Source organism: Homo sapiens, chromosome 1 (assembly GCF_000001405.40).
Source record: "Homo sapiens chromosome 1, GRCh38.p14 Primary Assembly".
Taxonomy (NCBI): Eukaryota; Metazoa; Chordata; class Mammalia; order Primates; family Hominidae; genus Homo; species Homo sapiens.
Window position 1 is genome coordinate 148,383,930 of NC_000001.11, and position 17,561 is coordinate 148,401,490.

General features: G+C 45.1%; 1 non-coding gene and 2 pseudogenes across 1 annotated transcript, besides 1 other annotated feature; 1 reads left to right on the forward strand and 2 right to left on the reverse strand.

The window, feature by feature from the left end:
- Window positions 1,900-2,034, reverse strand: RNU1-155P (RNA, U1 small nuclear 155 pseudogene; annotated as a pseudogene).
- Window positions 3,656-4,495: an enhancer, noted in NCBI's record as "H3K27ac hESC enhancer chr1:143672224-143673063 (GRCh37/hg19 assembly coordinates)". NCBI's record gives its function as "activates a minimal SCP1, AML or CMV promoter by ChIP-STARR-seq in primed H9 embryonic stem cells {active_cell/tissue: H9 hESC(primed)}" and the evidence as "EXISTENCE:reporter gene assay evidence [ECO:0000049][PMID:30033119]".
- On the forward strand, window positions 4,353-4,434 carry MIR6077 (microRNA 6077). The gene has a single exon (NR_106967.1). It is a non-coding gene; the product is annotated as a microRNA 6077 (primary transcript).
- Window positions 4,561-4,722, reverse strand: RNVU1-2 (RNA, variant U1 small nuclear 2; annotated as a pseudogene).

Here is a 17,561-nt window from a genome sequence, read left to right on the forward strand (position 1 = left end):
TTTTGGAGGTTGAGGATGCTGAGGTCTTGGTGCTTGGCCCCCTCTAACCCTGAGTACTTCCCCTCCTGCAGGGCAACCTGGCCAAGTACCCAGGCCCCAGCTCCAGCGACCATTTCCCCCTACTTTGCTCCTAGCAAAGGCTATTTCTAGGTCAGTGGTGAGGCACAGGCAGGACAGGGCAACTCGTTCTGACATGTTTTGCCCTGGAAGGCCTTGAGCACTGCGGTCCTGCAGAACCACTGTCTCCCTCTTTTGGAGAAAGCAGGGAGGAAATGACCTGTGTGGAGGGAATCGAGGGCTACACCTGCATGGAGGAGCTGAGGCAAGCAGGGCAGTTCCAGTCTGTAAATGTAAAGGACATTTGTCATCCAAGAGGTTGGGCTGTTATTATTAATTTTGAATTTTGTCAAAACAAGCTTCAGGGAAATTAGTCGTCTTACTTGTAAGAACCTTACAAGACCTCCCATCTTATATTCCAGGGAGAATTGCTGCGTATTACATGAACACATAGGTGAGACTGCTGTTCTGACCTGCAGGACTTGATGCCCTGGCGCAGGGGCACCAGGGTACCGGCAAAGCCTTTCCCATACAAAGAGCAAGGATGTTATGTCTACAACCCATCGGCACCAGTTCCAAGTACAATTTCTGCTCGACTCTATGGACTGAGTACACATTCCCCCCAGCACAGAAATCCTACAAACTCCCATGAATGCTATAGTGAAAAGCAGGGGCTGGCTAGGTGTGATGGATCACACCTGTAATCCTAGCAGTTTCTAAACTTGAGTCTAGGAGTTGGAGACCAACCTGGGCAACATGGCAAAACTTCAACTCTTAAAAAAACAACACAAAAAAACAACAAAACAAGCACAGAAATTAGCCGGCTGTGGTGGCTTGTGCCTGTGCTACTCCAAGGGCTGAGGTGGGAGGATTGCTTGAGTCAAAATGCCACCAGATACAGTGAGACCCTGTCTCAGGGAAAAAAACAAACAAACAAACAAAAAGAGGCTGTGTAAGAGGTCAACAGAAAAATACTAAGGTTTTCAAGTGGTGTTAAAAGCCAGTGGGCCTTGGGGACCATTGAGCAATCTACAAAGCAGGGAAGCCTAGATCCCTGAGCTCCACCTGCCAAGTACCACCACAGCTAATGTGAGAGACCTCCCCCACAGAGACTGAAATTTGCCTCCCGAGGAAACAAGTGACTACAGACATCTGTCCCAGGATAATAAAAAAGAAAACAAGGTCTCACAAAAACAAAAACAGCTGACCACACCATACAATCACTGAGACTGAGCCTGTGACTATAGGTGAAGAAAAAAAGGCTGTCTATTATTCATACCATGAAGGACCAGGGGAAAGTGCGAACACAGTCCCCTACTACTGTTGTGGGAATCAGGAGAACAGAGAGACCAATGGGTGGAACAGGAGGACTTTATTGAGTGTACTCAGGCCCAGCATATTAAAATCCAAAGGCTGAGCCCTGAACAAAGACAAGGCTTGGCTTTTACACACACTTCTGAAAGGGGGTTGGCTAGTTTGAATGGTGCAGTGGGAATTTGAAGGTGCAAAACTCACGGTGCAGGCAAGAGGGCTTACAGAAGCAGAACAAAGGCAGCTAATCAAACTGTGACCGGTCTTGCAATGCAAGCATAGCTGGTGACCTTGCAGCTGCACTGACAGGAAATCAGGAACTTAAAACTTGAATAATAAGAAATGGTAAGGGGAAAAGAGAAGGTAGTAAAGGGATTTGTTGTTTTTTCCTCTTATCCTTGCTAGGGGCAGACTGTGTTGAGAGAGTCTCTGGAACTAATTCCTCAGGGCTCTGGCTTTTCAGACAGTGTTATCAAGGATCTGCTAGGGCTCTATCTATTGCTGGCCTTGGAGTCAGTCAAGTACTGTGAAGCTCAGTTATGCAGCTGAGCTTCACACATTAGGGGAGATAACAGAGAACAGCACATCTGGAGTGCAATGGATGAGCCTCAACCTTAGGATGAACCACTATTGGTGACCATAGGATTTCCCCTACCAGGTAAGTGGCAGTCCACATACCTCTGCCCCACCACAGCTCCATACGCCTCACCTTTACACGCATGGTCACTTGCTCTGAGAACCACCCCCACCAATCCCCAACCACCCTGAGCCCTCCTAGCCCTAACACACAGCTGGGACTCTCACGTCCACCCAGCAGTCCTGGACTTGCTCCTACAGCACGGGAAATCCTCCATGGTGAAGAAGCAGCCCTGTGCTACCTCATCTACATAGAAATGCCCTATCGATGATGTCACCGACAATACCTTTCTTAATGTTCTGGAGATTATTAAATTAGATTTGTATAGTTGTGAAAAGTGCTCATATTGCTGATTCCATTGCTTATATGTGATCATATAAATCTTTTCTCTCCTTTCTGTAGTGTGGTTTAAACTTAATCCTTAAAGGACATGTATTTGAATTTTTCAGCTGGTTAGAAACCTGAATATACCAATCAAAGAAAACTGCTCCTTACATGCTACAGATTTGGTTTTCTTCCTGTACTAAGATGTCTTTTAGATATAGTAAATTTGTTAAAGCCAAGACTTCCTATGGAACGAAGTTTGATGGGAGGGGGGACATTGAGTAGTAAGATCACTCTTGTAACAGGGATGCCACTCTTGCAGATATTGACAACTATTGGGCCCATAAAATTTTTACCAAACATTGGAAAGACAAGATATGAACAACTTATCATTGCTGCAGTCTCAAATATCAGGAAATACCATTATTCTCAGGACAATAAATAGACAATAAAAAAAGTCTCACAGAGCAGATTAGCTGTCATGTATTACCAAACAGGGATTGGATCCTTGTCAACACCACCCAACAGAAATTGTCCATACAAATTCACTTCATAACATCAAAACCAAAAGCCCACACTGATGGCAAAAAATAATGACACAATAATGAGAGAGAGAGAGAGAGAGAGACCTGTCCTATAGCCATACTTAGTGTGTAAAAGCCAAAGAGCTCAATTTCTGCTCATGATACTTAATAAAACAGACGGAACATGAGCCAATAATTCAGTGGGTTCAGATCTGCACCAAGTGCCTGTTGGATGCAGGATTCTACTGTCTCCAATAATATGTCTCAGATGGCCTAGTTTTTTTTTGTTGTTTTGTTTTGTTTTGTTTTGAGACAGAGTCTCGCTCTGTCGCTCAGGCTGAGGTGCAATGGCATGATCTCAGCTCACTGCAACCTCTGCCTCCTGGGTTCAAGCGATTTTCCTGCCTCAGCCTCCCCAGTAGTTAGGATTACAGACACACACCACCACATCCAGCTTTTTTTGCTTTTTTTGCTTTTTTTTTTTTTTTTTTTTTTTTTGTATTTTTAGTAGAGACGGAGTTTCGTCATGTTGGTCAGGCTGGTCTCGAACTCCTGACCTCAGTTGATCAGAAGTAGGTGAGGTCAGAAAACATACCCTGGGAAATGCTGGCACAATGCCCAGAACCGCCATCTCTAGGCCTGGGGTTTTCTTTTGTAGTGGAATACTAGTATTCATGCAATGCAGGGACAAGACCAATTAGATACTTCTGGGAGTTAAAAAGAGATGAATTTACAGTGCCATTTGAGAAGGGGTATTAAGGAATTTGCCAGGGTACTGACGCGTGTCAGGTGCAAACTGCAGGTTGAAAGAGAGCTAAGTATTTTCTGTCCATGAAGGTGATAAGGGAGGGCCTGAAGAAAGACGGACCGGGAAGGACACTGGCGCCAGAAGTAGGAAAGGGCTGCTTGGGGGTGGGAAGGATGGGTCGGGGTGCTATCTAAAAAGTTGCCTGGCAATGGATGTAGGATATGGAAGCGAGACATCAAACAAGAAGTTGTCATTTAAATAAAGTCTGAAGAAAGACTAGATATGTAAACAGCAGGAGATAATAGGGAAACTGGACCCCGCTGCTCATAAAACTTCCTGCCTTATATTTCAGGGAGGATCGCAGCGCATTTCAGCCAAGACAAGTAAGACTGCGGTTCTGACCTGCGGGCCTCCACGAATTGCATTAGGGCACCTGGGCTCCGGGAAAGCCATTCCCCTACACAAAGTAAGCGTGTTATGTCTGCAAATGAACGGGGACACTAAGAGCCCCAAAGGCCCTGCTTTCATCCCAAAGAACAGCGCCTGTCTGCGTAGTTTGTACCTGGCTCTATGAGGTGAGAACACATTCCCCGCTAGCACAGAAATCCTACAAACTCCTGAGGGGGCTGCGGTTAGAAGCAGGGGCTGTGTAAAAGGTGACTCTGGGGGCTAGAGAAAACCACGAAGATTTTCACAGAGCGTGAGAACCCAAGACACTGGAGACCATGGACCAATCTCTGCAAAAAGCAGCCCTGCGTAGAAAGGGAAGAGCTGTACGGCCTTCGCGCTAGTTTGTTTGTGTTAAGGCTGACGCTCCCTATTTCTCCTCAGTGGGAGAAGCGACATCTTAATTCCTATTTCCCAGCCTTCCACTGTAAGAATAACACGTCCAAGACACAAATCAATGAAAGAAAAAAGTAGCCCTTAGAGTACAGCGTATTCTTGAAACTACAAAAAATCAGGGGAAAGCGCGAACGCAGTACCACTACCACAAATTATGCAATCGAGTTTCCCACATTTGGGGAAATCGCAGGGGTCAACACATCTGGAGTGCAATGGATAAGCCTCGCCCTGGGAAAACCACCTTCGTGATCATGTTATCTCCCCTGCCAAGTAAATATGAGCTCCTGCACCTCCGCCCCGTACGCCTCACCCTTTACACGCACGGTCGCTTGCCCCGCGCACCCCCCAGCCCTCCTAGCCCTGACACACAGCTGGGACTCTCCGGCCGGACCAGCGGTCCTGAGCCCGCTCCCAAGGCTCGGGAACTCCTTCGAGGCGAAGCAGCAGGTGGGGAAGCAGCAGCTCCTGCGCTGCCTCATCTACATAGAAGTCGCCCTATCCGTGATGTCACCGACAGTGCCTTTCCCAGGCCCCATCTGCCTTTCTGCCAGTCAGCCGACCAACCCGCTGCCTGAACCAGCAAGAGGAAGTGACGTCTGCCTCTCCCTTTTTCCCTCCCGCCCCGGCATCTGTTTTCGCCCAAAGAAGCTGGTCCTTAGCCTATCTTGTGAAGCAAACTTTCGGTGGCCAGATGGAGCCTGGGTACTCTTCTTCACATAATGACTTTTATTTCGCAGACTAGAACGTTTAGGACTACAAAAGAAACCGGTTTTCTTCACATACTTATCCTTGTAATGTAGCATTCCGCTTGAAATTGGAAGCCGTTCAATGTCACAGAGAAACCATATTTATGAAAGTAAAGAGGCTTCTCAGATGACTGCAAACCAGCCTTCCTTACTGATTTTATCACTGGTAATGTTATAAAAACAGTTGTCAAGTTTAATGAATCTTGTAGTTTTTTTTATTTTTATTTTTATTTTTTTCCAAATTCAGTATTGTGGAAAAATATGCTGCCACAGAAGAAATGATTGGACACTCTCAAATGTGGTGTTGCACTTTGTCATCTTTTGCACAGCCATCTCCAGACCTTATTGCTTACCTCGTGTTAGTTTTTTATATTCTGCAAAGACAAAACCAAAATAATCCAAATTTGACAAAAATACCTGGGATACATCTTATTTGTGATGCTTAACAAATGTCTGGATCATCTTTTCTTATATGGGATTATAATGCAGGAAACACTGTGAAGTAAGCAAAGTTGGAATTCCCAAGTCAAAGACCATTTGAATATTTACAAGTAGATTTGAGACAGGAATAATACAGGGTGGTCACAGGATAACAAATTCTAGGCAGCAGATTTACATGACTTGAGGCTATGGGCTGATAAGATGCTGAAAAACCAGGGTGTGGACCAAGCTGGCTAAGACTGACTGGACCCAATGTGGTGCTGGATTTGACGTAGGTTTTACCTAGGCCCTCATTATACGCTTATTAACATACTAAATCACACACCCACCAGTGCCATGACAGTTCTGAGACCAATATTTGATGTAAAAATGGATGGCACCACAGTTCTGAGAAATCTCCACCTTTACCCAGGAATTTTCATCAATATTCCACTCCTTGGTTAAAGAAACCCATTGAGATGAAACCCCAGAACCCATTGTTCTCTCTCAGGTATGCCCAAACTCCCCTTTCTTGAGTGTGTACTTTCTGCTTTGCAATAAATCTCTTCTTTCACTATTTGCTAACTCATCCTTGACCTCATTCTTGAGATGGTGTCAAGAGCCTGGACACCACAGCTGGGGTCGAGATCCTACCAGTGTCCGGGGACCTCCCCCAGCCCACCAGTATCAGATTCTATTCCATTGCTCAAATCACAAAACATCAAATGGAGAATTCTTCTTTGGAGACCACAAAGTAAAGATTCTGTGGCATGGTGGCCAGTTAGGCCACTGGAAGACATGGCAAAATATTGAAAATGAGGGATTAGGTGACAGCGTAGTAACTGCTGAATGTGAAATACTTGATCCAGACCCCATTCCCTGTAGACTGACTGGGAGACACATTGTCCAGGTAGTAGTGGAGAAATACTTTCTGGGTATCTGACCAGCCTTTGTGGAAAGAACTGGCACCATCCTGCAGATGTAACCACCTGATGGGTTCTTCCTGCCCACTGTACACACAAAATCAATTCACGGAGACCATGGCATTGCAGTAAAGAGTTTAACTGACACAGGCTAGCCATGACATGTAGGGGACAGAGTTATTACTCAAATCAATCTCACTGAAGGCTTGGAGGTAAGGGTTTTTTCAAAGACAGTTTGGTGGGGAGGGGGCTAGGGCTTGGGCGGTGCTGATTGTTGGGGATGAAATCACAGGGGTGTGGAAAATGGCCCTCCTGCATTGAGTCAGCTTCTGGGTGGGAGCTAAGGGACTGATTGATTTTCGGGCCAAATGGTGCCATCCAGTAGTCAGAAATGCAAAAGCCTGAAAAGACATCTCAAGAGGCCAATCTTAGGTTCTACAATAGTGATGTTCTTCACAGCAGTAACTGGGGAAGCTGCAAATCTTGTGACCTCTGGAATAATGGCTGGTGATTATTTAATGAGGCATACATCTTAGTAGAATTCAGGTCCCTTTCATCCTCCTAACTTGGTGGCCTTTCATTAGTTTTACAGGGGTAATTTAGCTTTGGGGAAGGTTATCATTTTAACCAAACTTTTTGGCTGTCCCCAGTGTTTTTGGCACCAGGGACTGGCTTCATGGAAGACAGTTTTTCCATGGAAGGGGGTGGTGGATAGTTTCCGGATGAAACCGTTCCACTTCAGGTCATCAGGCATTAGTTAGAGTCTCATAAGGAGTGCACAATCTGGATCCCTCACACGCATAGTTCCCAATAGGGTTCAAGCTAATATGAGCATCTAATGCTGATGCTGATCTGACAAGAGGCAGAGCTCAGGTGGTAATGCTCGAAAGCCTGCAGCTCACCTCCTGCCGTTTGGCTGGGTTCCTAACAGGCCATGGACCAATACCTGTCTTGTGGCCCTGGGGGTTTGGGACCCCTGATTTGAACTATAAACTCAATTTTTCCCAAAAATAGCTTGGGAGAAATTGTGCAGGAATGAGCAAAGACAGCTAGCCTGTGAGGCTAGAACCAAAATGGAGTCAGCCATGTCAGATTTCTCTGATTGTCATAATTTTGCAAAAGTAGTTTCAGAGGGACTACCCTGACACTTGTTAAAAGCATGAGGCGGATTTTATTGTATGTACTACAGTAGGCAAGAGAGACCAGCAGAGAACCGAGCTCAACTCCAAATACAGCAAGAAGGGTTGAAGATTTATAGCCAATCGGCAAGGTAAGAAAGTCAGTGGATGGAAAATTACTAAGAGGAACTTGATTAACTATCAAAGGTGGTTGGGAGGACTCTTGCTAAACTAGGCTCAACAGTATTCTTTTCTAAAACTGGACTTGGCAGGCCAAGAACTAATAGAGAAAAGGGCTCAGAGGAAACTGACTAAGGTTTGGTCAAAGATGGAGTCCTTGTCAACTCTACATTGAAGTTTCTGCAAATAAACGAAGACCAACCAAATGAAAAAAAGTAAAGGCTATTTATTCTGAGCTTGCTATAGCAGGGAGTCAGCCACTGTTACTTGTGTTTTGGCAGAGACTTGAAGGCAGTCAGAGAAGTGGGAAAGCTTTTTACAAAGAAAGGCTTCAGGTATGCTTCAACTGGAGGCTGTCAGCATGATGAAGCTAGATAGATGAAAAAATCAAAATATTTTACCCCAGAATATATTTCTTTGGCATATTTTAAGATGGCCGTCAGAGAGCCAGCAACAGAAGTAACTCTGCAAAACTGTCTTTTATAGGGGAAATTTACACCTACAGAGAATCTGCATTAATCTAGCCTTCCCTTGTCAGGATTGAGAAATAAAAATAAGCCCTAGGCCCTACAGCCAACTGAACAGACTCCCTCTTGGCTGACAGGACCGCAGAGAAACCTTGAAAGCTGTTTCTGGCTGTGGCAGGATAGAAGGCTGGACATGCCCCCTTAAAACCCCTCCCTCACTAACCGCGGTTATGAGGCAGGAGAACAGCAGAGGGAGTTGGAAGTTGGATAAAAGGCAGAATGAGTAAAAGCAGAAACAGAAGTAAGGTGATGGGGTGGGAGAGCAAGAAGCAAGATAAAAGGCATAAACTAAGCAACCAAAACAAAAAGTAAGATTAAAAAAAGCAAGCAAGGCCAGGTGCAGCTGCTCACATCTGTAATGCCAGCAGTTTGGGAGGCCAAGGCAGGTGGATCGCCTGAGGTCAGGAGTTCGAGACCAGCCTGACCAACATAGTGAAACCCCTTCTCTACTAAAAATACAAAAAGAAAAAAATAGCTGGGCATGGTGGTGCACTCCTGTGCTCCCAGCTACTCAGGAGGCTGAGACAGGAGAATTGCTTGAACCCAGGAGGCAGAGGTTGCAGTGAGCCAAGATCATGCCACTGCACTCAAGACTGGGCAACAGAGCAAGACCCTGTCTTAAAAAAAAAAAATAAAACAAGCAAGCAAGGACCCCATGGCCAGCAAGATCCAAACCAATAAAGGGGCAGCTCTTCAGAGATAGGCATGTGCATTAGAGAGAAAAAGTATCCTTAACATGACTTCATATGATAATCAGCTCATTAAAGCTCATGCATATGGACTGCATATCATGCATGTACTTAAAATTATGGGATAGAGGCAACATTCAAGCACACAAGGGCCAAAGTAACTAAGCAACCCACCTATCAATCAAATGGCAAACCCTGGCTAAAGATTAGGCATTCTTGGCCTGGCACGGTGGCTCAGGCCTGTAATCCCAGCACTTTGCAAGGCTGAGGTGGGCAGATCATGAGGTCAGGAGATCGAGACCACCCTGGCTAACACGGTGAAACCCCGTCTCTACTAAAAATACAAAAAAATTAGCCGGGCGTGGTGGCGGGCGCCTGTAGTCCCAGCTGCTGGGGAGGCTGACGCAGGAGAATGGTTTGAACCCGGTAGGCAGAGCTTGCGGTGAGCCAGGATTGTGCCACTGCACTCCAGCCTGGGTGACAGAGCAAGACTCTGTCTCAAAAAAAAAAAAAAAAGATTAGGCATCCTTGTGAAGAAAAAAAACCACACATCAAAAGACCCAATGTACACCAAACTAATACTGATCTCATCTCCCAGAGGTCAGCCCACTCTCCCCACTCCGAGAGTGTTACTGTGCTTAATAAACTTTTGCTTTGCTTTGCTGCTTTGTGTGTGTCATGTACACTTCTTTGGGACACCAACAGTCTGGAACTGCACGGTACCATCTGGTAAGAATTAGGCTTTTTTGGCCGGGTGCGGTGGCTCACGCCTGTAATCCCAGCACTTTGCGAGGCCGAGGCGGGCGGATCACGAGATCAGGAAATCGAGACCATCCTGGCTAACACGGTAAAACCCCATCTCTACTAAAAATACAAAAAATTAGCCCGACGTGGTGGCGGGTGCCTGTAGTCCCAGCTACCCAGGAGGCTGAGGTGGGAGGATTACTTGAGCCTGGGAGGTGAAGGTTGCAGTGACCCAAGCTTGCAACACTGCACTTCAGCCTGGGTGACAGAGGAATGGGCCTTCACTAGACACTGAACCTGCTGGCAACTTGATCTTAGACTGACCATCCTCCATAACTGTGAGCAATAAATTTTTGTTGTTTATAAGTTACTCACTCTGTGGTATTTTGTTATAGCAGCACAACTGGATTAAGACATTAACCTGACCTTAAGAAATCATCTCAAATCAGTCTTGGCTTTGATGAGAAACAAAGGGCACACTCGAATGTGTGATTTAAAGAGAGTTTTTTTTTTTTTTGAGATGGAGTCTCGCTCTGTCCCCCAGGCTGGAGTGCAGTGGCATGATCTCGGCTCACTGCAAGCTCCGACTCCTGGGTTCACGCCATTCTCCTGCCTCAGCCTCCGGAGTAGCTGGGACTACAGGCGCCCGCCACCACACCTGGCTAATTTTTTGTATTTTTAGTAGAGACGGGGTTTCACTGTGTTGGCCAGGATGGTCTCGATCTCTTGACCTCATGATCTGCCTGCCTCGGCCTCCCAAAGTGCTGGGATTGCAGGCATGCGCCACTGCACCCGGCCTACAGAGAGTTTTATGAAGAGAATATTTATAAATATATGGACAGGATCAAAATAACGCAAGAAAGGACTGAGAGGCACTCAGAATCTGGAATCATCAGAGAAGTTGTATTGCCTCTAGGACTGAATTGTTGTATAAGTCTGTTCAGGTTGCCATAACAAAATACCATATACCAAGTGGCCTAAACTATAGAAATGTGTTTCTCACACTTCTAGAAGTTGGGAAGTCCAAGATAAAGGTGCTAGCAAAGCGGATTTCTTTCTAAGATCTCTTCCTACAGCCTGTAAGTGGCTGTAGTTTCACTGTGTGCCCATGTGACCATTTCTTTGTGCACCATGGGGAAGGCGGATGAGCAAGCTTTCTAGTGTCTCTTCTTATAATGGCATTAATCTCAGCATAAGGACCCCACTCTCATAACCTCTTTTAAACCTGATTACCTCTCAGAGGCCCCAGCTGCATAAACCATCACACTGGGGGTTAGGGCTTCAACATTTAAGTGTGGGAGTTGGTGTTCACAATTCAGTCAATTGGAGTGGAAATTGAAATGGGAAAGGAAAACTATAGTTACTAGAGAGAGCTATTGTCTTGGAGAGGATCACTGGACAGGACTATAGTCTTTGGAGAAATAAGTGAGTGACAACTGACAAAGATTCTTTCTGTGAAAATAAGTAATTTAAAATGTAAGTTGTTGGAATTCCAAATTACTTTGAGCCTTTAAAAAATCTGAGTATGGGCCAGGCACCATGGCTCACACCTGTAATCCCAGTACTTTGGGAGGCCCAAGGCAGGCAGATCACGTGAGATCAGGAGTTTGAGACCAGCCTGACTAACATGGAGAAAGCCCATCCCTACTAAAAATACAAAATTAACCGGGTGTGGTGGCGCATGCCTGTAATCCCAGCTACTCGGGAGGCTGAGGCAGGAGAATCACTTGAACCTGGGAGGCAGAAGTTGCAGTGAGCTGAGATCGCACCATTGCACTCCAGCCTGGGCAACAAGAGTAAAACTCTGTCTCAAAAAAAAAAAAAAAAAGAAAAAAGAAAATGTGGGTATGGAGCCTAAGTCACATGAGAGGCACCTGTAAACTAGGCAGTTTTAACCTTTGTTTCTCTGATTATAGATTGGCCTTCTTCCTTACATACATTTTTTTTTTTTTTTTTTGAGATGGAGTCTTGCTCTGTGGGCCAGGCTGGAGTGCAGTGGCATGATCTCGGCTCACTGCAACCTTAGCCTCCTGGGTTCATGCCATTCTCTTGCCTCAGCCTCCCGAGTAGCTGGGACTATAGGCGCACACCACCATGCCCAGGTAATTTTTTGTATTTTAGTAGAGACGGGGTTTCACCATGTTAGCCAGGATGGTCTCCATCTCCTGACCTCATGATCCACCTGCCTCAGCCTCCCAAAGTGCTGGGATTACAGGCATGAGCCACTGCACCCAGCCACACGCATTGTTTTCTAACATGTCATATAAATTATTGAAGGGTGCCAGGGAAGATTGCTTCCCTCTTCACTGCTGACTTTCATTATAGATTAACTTCCTTCTTACCTTGCTCTCATAAAGACTTCATGGCTATTGCATTGTCTTAAGATGCAATGTTAAATACACTCCTTTAAATTGGAAAGGAAATGTGAGCCAGCTATAAAGAAAGAAAACAAGTAGTATGGAAAGAGAAAAAGGTTGGGCACAGTGGGGCTCATGCCTGTAATCCCAGCACTTTGGGAGGCTGAGGTGGGTGGATCACTTGAGGTCAGGAGTTTGAGACCAGCCTGGTTCACATGGTAAAATCCCATCTCTAGTAAAAATACAAAAAATTACCTGGGCATGGTGGTGGGCACCTGTAATCCCAGATATTCAGGAGGCTGAGACAGGAGAATCACTTGAAACCAAGAGGCAGAGGTTGCAGTGAGCCAAGATCATGCCATTGCACTCCAGCCTTAGCAACAGAGTGAGACTCCATCTCAGAACAACAACAACAAAAAAAAAAAAAAACACAAAAAAACAAAAAATTCTGCAACTAATTAATTTGTTGTAACTCTTAAAGCAGCCTTATATAGAAAATGTTGTGATCCTATTAATTTTTTTTTCTTTCTATGTAAGCAAGAACTTCACTTTTGACTTTGCAGCACTGACCCCATTTCTCTGGAGTCTGTGTGCCCTGATTGGCTATTCCCAGATTTTTGTTTGAATAAACTCTTTTTTAATTTTTACCATTAGTTCCCACAAGCAGAATGAATAAACATTTTAACACTGAATTCTGAACCTTTCATTTATTTCAGGTTGACATCTCCTTGGCCAAACTCTAATCAGGCTCTTCTGAGTCCTCTTCTCACTAGGCCTCAACTATTGAGCTTCTGTGTTCCTCTCTGCATTGTTCAATCTCAGCAAGAATCCTTCTCAGTCAATTTAGCCAGAATTCCCCATCTTCAATAGCTGATCACTCATAATATCTAATAGGGCTCCTCATCCTTCACCATCTGCTAGGTGATGTCTGATCACCCTGCGTTCAGCAAGAATGCTATATGTTGGCTTAGCCATGTGGGAAGCCCAAAATATGCCACCCCAAAATACACTCCTTTGGTATAATTTGAGATGGCTATTTAGAGGGGCTGCAGATGTTACTGAGGGGTCTCAGCCCAAAAAGGGACTCTTTCCTGTTTATTATTGCAAAGCCAATGTATGAAACCAAGAGTGAGTGTCAAGCAGTGCAGGCTCTATTCAATGGCATTGGAGAAGTAGGAGCATAGCATGGAATTGGAGAAGTAGTATAGCTTGCAAATCACCTTCTCGGCTACTGAGAACCAGGAAGTTACAAATATAGAGGATCTTTAATGAAGGGAATGAGCAAGGTGAGGAATATTCATGCTTTTCTTAGGAAGGGATGGAGATTTTCCTAGAATCAAGGAGTCACCTCATTTCTGTCCTTTCTTGGTCTCTTTCGTTCATTGTCACAGTGATTGTCAACTGTCATGCACTGATGGGAGTGCTATTTAGCATGGAAATTGGATTATAATAAAGCTAGATGTTTTTCAGAGGTTGCATAAGCTGCCATCATGGATTTCACCAGCTTCAGCTGGTTTAGTCCCAAGAAGAAACTTCTGACCACAGACATCCTGTTTCTTAAAAATAAGCAGAGTTAAAGGTGAGTAAGAATTCAGCCATGACACATATGCACTGCAATGGCCAACAACATCTGGGTAGGGGTCCAGGTAAGTCATGTAGGCAGTGCAATAGGTAACACAGTCACAGAAATACCTATGAAAAGCTGTCCTTTTGTCAGGGAGATTAGCATGTGTAGAGGAAGTAAACATCAACTGCAAATGGCTTTCTCTGAGACCTTCTTATCTGCTTTATCCGGATCCAGGTAAGATTAACTCACAGGAAAAGGAAACAAAAGATCTCATGCTTTTAAACGTCTGACAGAGAAACTTTTTTTTTTTGAAACGGGGTCTTACTCTGACACCCAGGCTGGAGTGTGCAGTGGTGCAATCTTGGCTCACTGCAACCTCTGCCTCCCAGGTTCAAGCCATTCTCATGCCTCAGCCTCCCGAGCAGCTGGGATTACAGGTGCCCACCACCACACCAGGTTAATTAATTAATTTATTATTTATATATTTATTTATTTATTTATTTATTTATTTATTTATTTATTTTAGACAGAGTCTTGTTCTTTCACCCAGGCTGGAGTGCAGTGGTGCCATCTCAGCTCACTGCAAGCTCTGCCTCCCAGGTTCATGCCATTCTCCTGCCTCAGCCTCCCTAGTAGCTGGGACTACAGGTGCCCGCCACCACGCCTGGCTAATTTTTTTGTATTTTTAGTAGAGACGGGGTTTCACTGTGTTAGCCAGGATGGTCTCGATCTCTTGACCTCATGATCCACCTGCCTTTGCCTCCCAAAGTGCTGGGATTATAGGCATGAGCCACCGAGCCCGGCCTGTATTTTTAGTAGAGATGGGGTTTGCCATGTTGGCCAGGCTGGTCTTGAACTCCTGACCTCAAATAATCTGCCCACCTCAGCCTCCCAAAGTGCTGGGATTACAGGCATGAGCCACCACATCTGGTGGAGGGCTACTTCTTGAGAGACTTCATCTGCATCACATCTGCATCACAACACAGCCTTTGCTCACCATGTCTTTCCTCCCCTCAACCTCCCATAACCTGTGGCCACCACCCCCTAAGAACTCCAAGCCTAGTTAGTCCTTTTTGTGCTGCACATAAACTTCAACCATACGGCCTTCTTTGAGGCTTTTTTTTTTTTTTTTGAGACAAAGTTTTGCTTTTGTTGCCCAGGCTGGAGTGCAATGGCGTGATCTCAGCTCACCGCAACCTCTGCCTCCCAGGTTCAAGTGATTCTCCTGCCTCAGCCTTCCGAGTAGCTGGGATTACAGGCATGTGCCACCACAACTGGTTAATTGTGTATTTTTAGTAGAGATGGGGTTTCTCCATGTTGGTCAGGCTGGTCTCGAACTCCTAACCTCAGGTGATCAGGATCCACCCGCTTTGGCCTCCCGAAGTGCTGGGATTACAGGTGTGACCCACTGTGCCCGGCCTGAGGCTCATATTTTTATGTGACTCTGTATTAGTCAGGGTTCTCTAGACAGACAGAATTAATAGGATAGATATACAAAGTAGTTTATTAAGTATTACACTTACTTTTTTTGTCTTTTTTTTTCTTACTTTTTGTGGAAAACAGGGTCTTGTTATATTGCCCAGGCAGGTCTCCAACTCCTGGGCTCAAGCTATCCTCCCGCCTCTGCGTCTCTGAGAGCTGGGATTACAGGTGTGAACCACCACACCTGGCCAGGAGTTTATTAAGTATTAACTTACACAATCACAATGTCCTGCAATAGGCTGTCTGCAAGCTTAAGGAGCAGGAAAGTCAGTTCAAGTCTCAAAACTGAAGAACTTGGAGTCTGATGTTCCAGGGCAGGAAGCATCCAGCACAGGAGAAAGACGTAGGCTGGCAGGATAGGCCAGTCTGGCCTTTTCATGATTTTCTGCCTGCTTTATATTCATGGGCAGTGGATTATATTGTGCCCACCAGATTTAGGGTGGGTCTGCTTTCCCCAGCCCATTGACTCAAATGTTAATCTCCTTTGGCAACACCCTCACAGATACGCCCAGGATCAATACTTTCATCCTTCAATCCAATCAAATTTGTGAGAAACAAATTCACCTGTCTAAACCCAAACAATGAACTCAGAGACCCAGAGAACAGCGAAAGTGAGACTTTTAATGACGGTCTTGCAAGATCGGGTGTCTGGCATGCAGGCACACCCAGCACAGTTTCAACAAGCAATTTACGCCCTAGTGCACAGGTCCCTCCCTCAGTTCCTCATAGGCTGAGTACTAGCCTTCCACAATCTTCCTAGACATCACCTATTGATTGTTCTTCAAGTACATTCTTTAGGGTCTTTCTGCTGCATTTTATTGCAGCACACGATGCATTATGACTCTCAGGATTTTTCAAACATTTGACTTACGGCTCTAGTGGCTGCACTTAGCTGATAAGAAAGGGTACAATTATCTATGTTGCAAGCTAGCTTAAACTAAATTTCTTTGTGGAGTGGGGAAGGGGTAGATGAGGGGGCCCCCACCGATAGATGCCTGGCCACTGGGTGAAAGGGAAAGAAGGAAGGTGGAGGGGGTGGCTCAGTACATTCTGCTTCTTTATTTCTTTCTTTCCAGGTAGCCTGCCTAAACCTATACCAAGCCACTTAGAATTGAAAATAGATAATCACATATAGGTTATTTCCTACTATTCCCTCCTTTTTCTTTTTACCCTTTTTGGTGTCATTTTCACTTAAATTGCTTTTTCAAACTGTTCCAGAATTGTTTACTTTTTTTTTTCAGATGGAGTTTTGCTCTGTTGCCCAGGCTGCAGTGCAGTGGGGTGATCTCGGCTCACTGCAACCTCTGCCCCCCAGGTTCAAGCGATTCTCCTGCCTCAGCCTCCCGAGTAGCTGAGATTATAGGCGCGCTGTAATTTTTGTATTTTTAATAGAGACAGGGTTTCACCATGTTGGCCAGGCTGGTCTTGAACTCCTAAACTCAGGTGATCATGAGCACCTGCTTCAGCCTCCCAAAGTGCTGGGATTACAGGCGTGAGCCACCGCGCCAAGCCAGAAGTTGTTTACTTTCTTTCTCATAGGAGGAGGAGTTTATTTGGTTTCTAATAATAGTAGGTTATTTTGTTGGAACATCAGGGGCATCTGTTTACTGAGAGTTGTTTTAATAAACCTTAGTGTTATATATATATATATACATATATATATAAAATATATTACATCTATTATATATAGTAGTAGTGTTAAACCCCTTACACAAGTATTGATGCAACATCGTATGTCAATGACAGAATCTGTTAAGTTGGAAGAGTATACTGTAGAAGGTACATACTTCACTTTTTTTTTTTTTTTTTTTTTGAGATGGAGTCTTGCTCTGTTGCCCAGTCTGGAGTGCAGTGGCGCAATCTCAGCTCACTGCAACCACCGCCTCCTGTGTTCAAGCAATTCTGCTGCCTCAGCCTCCCAAATAGCTGGGATTACAGGTGCCCACCACCACATCTGGCTAATTTTTGTATTTTTAGTAGAGACAGGGTTTCACTATGTTGGCCAGACTGATCTTGAACTCCTAACCTCAGGTGATCTGCCCGCCTTGGCCTCCCAAAGTGCTGGGATTATAGGCATAAGCCACCACCCTGGCTCATAGTTCACTATTGAAACAAACTTTTTTTTGTGTACAGAAGAAAAAAAATCGTACAGTTAACAGTGTCAGAGATAGTGAAAATATGAAACAAGAACTGCTTACAAGAAAGGAGCACTCAGGGGACCAAACCTCTGCCAGAGCCAGCGGGGAAGTGACTTATGCCTCTCTCTTCTTTCCCTCCTGTCCCCGCCCCTCGTCTCCCGCAATGAAGCGGGTACTTAATCTGTGTCCTGTGGAGGTCCCCTTTGGCAGCCAGCTGGAAGCCCGT